Below are 6,128 nucleotides of genomic sequence, written 5' to 3' on the forward strand. Positions count from 1 at the left end.
GGGGGAAGGGTGGGGCTTTCCTCAGGCTCACACTGGCTTCTTTCTCCCCTACAGATGGTGAGGGGACGGCAGAGGAAAGGAGGTCTCACTGGTGCACACGACATTCCTGGATTCTCTCCTTAGTGGTTGTTTTTGTTGGTAATAGTAGAAACAGTAATAGTAGCAACAGCAGTGGTGGTAAACGTAGCATGAACGTTAAGGAGATTCCTCTGGGTGCCTTCTGGCTTCAAGTTCCTGAGCAGAGCTGGGCTGCATGGAACAACCAGAGCTGTCTTCCTGGACAGCTGACATCCCTTTTGTTTTTCTGTTTGCTCAGATGTCTGGTTAATTTCTGCACGGGAATATCATATCCGGAGCTCCCGAGGCCCTTCTAGAATGTTCTGTCTTGCACTTAGCAGATCTCCTTTCCCTTGACAAATGGACTCCATCTCCTCTCTTTAGACTGGATTTCGCTGATTTGTGTAAATTTGGCATTATAAAGTATTTATATGGCTCGGTGCTGGCAGTGGCCTCTCTCCAGCCTCCTGGCTCTGTTCCTTCCTGGGAAGATGAGTGACTGGGCTGGACAGTGACTGGCCACGACTGTGGACACTGCCCTGAGTAACTCCCGGCACCTCCACCCTTTCAGTCCAATTCCACGAGTGTTTACTGAACGCTCCCTCTGTACTCCGAGTTTGCTCCATGAGAAATTCAGACATGAACAAAAGGTGGTCCTGCCACGGAGGGGCTTGCACCTGGCAGGTGAGGCAGGGATGGAAACAGCTCCACCTGGGCTGGTGGCGATAAGTCATAAGAAAGGGACACATAGAGCCCTTCAGAGTCCCAGTTTCAGGAGGGGCAGGGAGGGCTTTCTGGAGGCCATGGCACATGACCCCCGTAGAATGGGGGCACGTGGAGAGGAGGGAGGGGATGTGGAGTGAAGGGAACAGCACAGGGAACAGCAGAGGCAAGTGTGCAGGAAGCAGGGTGGGCGCCACAGGGCTATGTGCTTAAGCAAAGCCTCCGCCCATGAGACAAGGTAGAGGGGCAGATGAGGGCCCCAGGCTGCAGGGTTTCCTTTTGTTTCTGAAGCCAATGGAGGGGTGAGGGACGGGGATGGGTGAGCCCAGACTGGAAGTGACAAGAATCAGGTGGAGCTTCAAGTGGATCATTCCAGGAGCAAGAGATGGAAACCAGCTCCTACGGAGCATCTACTCTGCGCCTGTGTATTCGTTTCCTGTTGCCACTATAGTTTGTTATGGGGTAGCAAACTACCCCATACACTTAGTGGCTTGAAACAACACACATTGGCCAGGTGCGGTGGCTCACGCCTGTAATCCCAGCACTTTGGGAGGCCGAGGCGGGTGGAACACCTGAGGTCAGCAGTTCGAGATCAGCCTGGCCAACATGGTGAAACCCTGTCTCTACTAAAAATACAAAAATTAGCCGAGCGTGGTGGGGCTTGCCTGTAATCCCAGTTACTTGGGAAACTGAGTCACGAGAATCATTTGAACCCAGGAGGCGGAGGTTGCAGTGATTGCACCACTGCACTCCAGCCTGGGTGATAGAGCAAGACTCCATCTCAAAACAAAACAAAACAAAAAAATCAACACACATTTATTGTCTTACAGTTCTGAAGGTCACAAGTCCAAGATCAGTCTCTGTGAACTAAAATTAAGGTGTCAGCAAAGCCAAGTTCCTTCTGGAGGTGCTAGAGGAAGGTCAGGAGCCACCAAATCAGACTGAATCAGGTCTAAGCTTGGGGCCTTCAGTGATGGAGAATTAACAGAGCTGACAAAAGAAGTGAGGAGATGAGGTTGAGGATAGGGGGAAGGCTAGTGGCTGCATTCGGGGCCAGATGGAAGGGCCCAGCTGGAAGCTTACGCCAAGGGAGGGGTTGGGCTGGGAACAGTTCTGAAGGTCAAGCATAGACTCGGGGAGTCCCTGAGATGGGGTTAAGGGAGAAAAGGGTTGGGCATAGAACCAGAGCGGGGAACAGGGCCAGGACGCAGCAGAAAGGCTCCCAAGGTGTCATAAGGAGGGGAGAGGGAGGGAGTGGCCAGCAAGGCTGGTAGTGTCTAGGAATGTAGTGTCAGACACCAAAGGGAGTGAACAGAAAGATGGTCAAATGCCAAGTGAAGCTCTTGGGTTCAGCAACTTGGAAGTGTCTCGCAGCAAAAATGCAGGGGTTCCCACCATCACCAGCTCTCAGGTGGTCTTGAGAAGGGCTGTGTTTGGTGCTGTCCAGGCTAGGCTGGCTGTAAAGACTGCAAGACCTTTGTGAGATGCTTAAGCTCCAGGAAGATCCTTCTCAACCCAAAGCAAGAACCTCCCGGCTGAGCCCAGTTAGCCTCCACCCTGTGAGAGACAGCAATAAGACTCCGATGCTGTTTAAGGCACTAGGCCATGGGGCAGTTTGTTATGCAGCCTTAATAGCATGGGTCAAGGATAACATTGGTAGTTTCGGGTGGAAATTTGGCAGGAAAATCAGTGGTCTGTTGGCAGATATTTTAGTTCCAAATTGTCCACGGGTACTCTAATTGGAGATGGGATTGGGAAGAAGAGAATTTTTATCTCCAGAGCTGCCTCTTCCCTCCCACTAACACACCAGCCCCTCCTTTCCCAAGGCATTCTGCTCTTGTTGTACCCTTATCATTCAAGTCTACTTTGGGGGAATCAGCGTGTTTTTCTTTCCAGGGCCATTGATGCCTATAACCTGAGCTCTTCCTCTGAAAGGAAAGACTTGACTCCCCAGTTTCAGTGGCTAAGGGTTGGGTCGGCACTGCACTGAAGCTAGGTCATAGCTGAGGGTTGAGTCGGCACTGTACTGAAGCTAGGTCATAGCTGAGGGTTGAGTTGGCACTGTACTGAAGCTAGGTCATAGCTGAGGGTTGGGTCGGCACTGTACTGAAGCTAGGTCATAGCTGAGGGTTGGATCGGCACTGTACTGAAGCTAGGTCATAGCTGAGGGTTGAGTTGGCACTGTACTGAAGCTAGGTCATAGCTGAGGGTTGGGTCAGCACTGTACTGAAGCCAGGTCATAGTGGCTTGAGAGAGCCAATCGTTACATTTTAAAGAATTTGGTGAGATGATTATTGTGATGGCTAATTTTAGGTGTTTAGGTGTTTTGACTGGATTAAGGGATACCCAGATAGCTGGTAAAGCACTGTTGCTGGATATGCCTGTGAGGGTGTTTCCAGAAGAGACTGGCATTTGAAGCCATGGACTGAGTAAGGGAGACCCATCTTCATCCAATGTGGGTGGGCACCATCCAATCAGCCGAAAGCCCAGGTAGAACAAAAAGGCAGAATAAAGCTGAATTCATTCTCTCTTCTGGAGCTGGGACACCCTTCTTCTCTTGTCCTTGGACATCAAACTCCAGGTTCTCTGGCCTTTGGACTCTAAGACTTGCACCAGCAGCCCCCCTGGGTTCTCAAGACTTTGTCCTTGAACTAAGAGTTACACCATTGGCTTCTCTGGTTCTGAGGCTTTCAGACTTGGACTGAGCCCAGCCTCCCTGGGTCTCTAGCTTGCAGATGGCATATCATGGGACTTCTCAGCCTCCATAATCACGTGCACCAGTTTTCCTGAATAACCCCCTCTCAGATCTCTGTATATACCCTATTGGTTCTGTCTCTCTGGAGAATCTAGACTAATATAATCATTAAACACAACCATTATTAAAAATTAAATTACAGCTGGGCATCATGGTTCATGCCTATAATCCCAGCATTTTAGGAGGCCGAGGTGGGGGCAGATCACTTAAGCCCAAGAGTTCAAGACCAGCCTGGGTAACATGGCAAAACCCTGTCGCTACAAAAAATTCACTGGGTGTGGTGGTGCATACCTATAATCTCAGCTACTTGGGAGGCTAAGGCACAAGAATTGCTTGAACCCAGGATGCAGAGGTTGCGGTGAGCTGAAATCATGCCACTGCATTCCAGCCTAGGTGATGGAGCAAGACCCTGTCTCAGAAAACAAAAACAACAACAAAAAACCTTTTACCAACATGCCACTTCAACTTTGGGACAGGTTTGAGAGGGAGCCAGAATGGCCCCCTTAGCCAGATCCTTGTAGACTTTTGTTTGGAGCTTATGACATCATACTGTTCTCACCAAGGCTTGTGGTATCTGTTTGTCGCCAACAAAGCTGATTTTTTTTTTTTTTTTTTTGAGACAGAGCCTGTCTTTGTCTGTTGCCCATGCTGGAGTCCAGTGGCACGATCTCGGCCCAGCCTGAGCACACAGCCAATTCAAGCAGGTCTTCATCAATTTGTTGTAGAATTTTTTTTTTTTTTCTGAGACCCTCTTGCTTTGTTGCCCAGGCTGGAGTGTAGTGGCACAATCTCGGCTGACTGCAACCTCCGCCTCCCAGGTTCAAGCAATTCCCCCATGTCAGCATCCTGAGTAGCTGGGGTTACAGGCACCCACCACCACACCCAGCTAGTTTTTGTATTTTTAGTACAGACTGGGTTTCACCATGTTGGCCAGGCTGGTCTCGAACTCCTGAGCTCAAGTGATCTGCCCGCCTTGGCCTCCCAAAGTGCTGGGATTATAGGCGTGAGCCACCGCACCCAGCCCATTGTAGGTTTTAAGATCACTGGTATCATCCATAGTAAAAAGAGAGAGGGATGGTCATGTTCATAGACCTTAAAGTGGAAAGTCACCTACACCTGGAGGCAGAGGCCTGGAAACTTCCAGCCACATGACCTCAGGAAAGTCCTTTCCCTTGTTACGTCTCAGTATCCCCAACTGTAAAGCAGGAGGGAGGACCCTGATGTCAAGGCCCCTCTGGCGCAGGACTGTGAAGTGCCTAGGATGGGCTCCCATGGACCGGCTGGAGTCCCCAGATCCCCTGGGGTCCACCAACCCTGCTCCGGCAGCACACCCTGCGGGCTGCGGCTCCCTCCCCTGCCCAAGTGGGTGCTTCTGAGGGAAGGGTCCAGATAGCTCTCCTGCCTCTCCTCCTGCCTTGACAGGGAGCAGGCTGCATGGAGAGGCTTTTAAACCTGCCTGGCTGCTGTGAGTATTGATCAGCTTTGTTCCTTAATGGGATTCTTGCGTGCTCGCTGCCGGCCGCCCCTCCTCCAGCCCCCATTATTCTGGGCCATCGCTGCTTCAGGCCTCCTTCCCTCAGCTGAACAACACCAGAGAGTGGAAGAGCTGAGAGCGGCGCTCCTCTAAGGGGGAACGAGGGGACAAGCAAGCCACAGTGCTAGCTGGGGGCTGAGAGCTGAGCCACTGCCTGTCACAAAGGATGGCCAACTGCCGAGCACCTGTCCCAGGAGCTGCGGGCTACTTGGTGACCCCCACGCTGGGGTCAGGTCCTGGAGCCCTCTCCTGAGCCCAGCTGAGCCCCTCCTTCCTCCCTCATGGGTCCAAGCAAGTGTGGCCCTCAGGTGTGGGTGGCCGTGCCCTAGCCTCTCTCTCCCTGTTGTTGCCAAAGAACCCCCAAAAATGTCACCTGTGAAAGTTCTGGATTTCCTCGACTTCGGGAAATGGCAGTTTTCAGGCTGGTCTGTTGCTATGGAATTCAAATTCATGGCAACTTTGTGCCATTGTGTTGGCTGCCTGCCTTAGCTCCTCTGACTTCCTTTACAATCAAGTCAATAAAAGTGTCACCTCGCCCTCATCTTTTTAGTATTTATATTTCAGATCAATGTGAGGCCTGAAGCCCATTGATTACCCTCCGATGAGTTGCAAAAAAGTGCAGTATTAAAAAGGGCTGGTTCTGAGATGGAGCCGGGGAAGTTGCTGGTCATGTGAGTCAAGTTGTTTTCACATACAGCAACATCTTTTATTTATACGATTGCAATGTCTACCTCTGTTGTAGCTGTTCCTGCCTTTCCCGTGACACCGGGGCTGCAGTTCCACGCCCCGACAAGTTGCCTGGTTGTTGCAAGCACCCCACAGTGGCCTCCAGCCTGTCCTGGGAAACCAGCTCTGAAGAGCAGGGACCCTGCATTACGCCTTCCGTGACAGCCCCGAGGGGAATCTTCAAAAAAGAGACACACTCGTGGCACTTAAAGGAAGCTGAATGTGCCTGTTCCTGGCTGGTCTGGGAGAACAGGCTTGTGCTGGGGACATGGAACACACTTAATGGCCAATCGATACCCAAGTCACGGTATCTGCTGCCCGCGGTTTACGTTT

The 6,128-nt window shown here is 51.4% G+C and overlaps 1 annotated feature.

Moving 5' to 3' along the window:
- Positions 5,062 to 5,575: an enhancer, noted in NCBI's record as "H3K4me1 hESC enhancer chr9:135011939-135012452 (GRCh37/hg19 assembly coordinates)". NCBI's record gives its function as "activates a minimal SCP1, AML or CMV promoter by ChIP-STARR-seq in primed H9 embryonic stem cells {active_cell/tissue: H9 hESC(primed)}" and the evidence as "EXISTENCE:reporter gene assay evidence [ECO:0000049][PMID:30033119]".

Source organism: Homo sapiens, chromosome 9, assembly GCF_000001405.40.
Source record: "Homo sapiens chromosome 9, GRCh38.p14 Primary Assembly".
Classification (NCBI taxonomy): domain Eukaryota; kingdom Metazoa; phylum Chordata; class Mammalia; order Primates; family Hominidae; genus Homo; species Homo sapiens.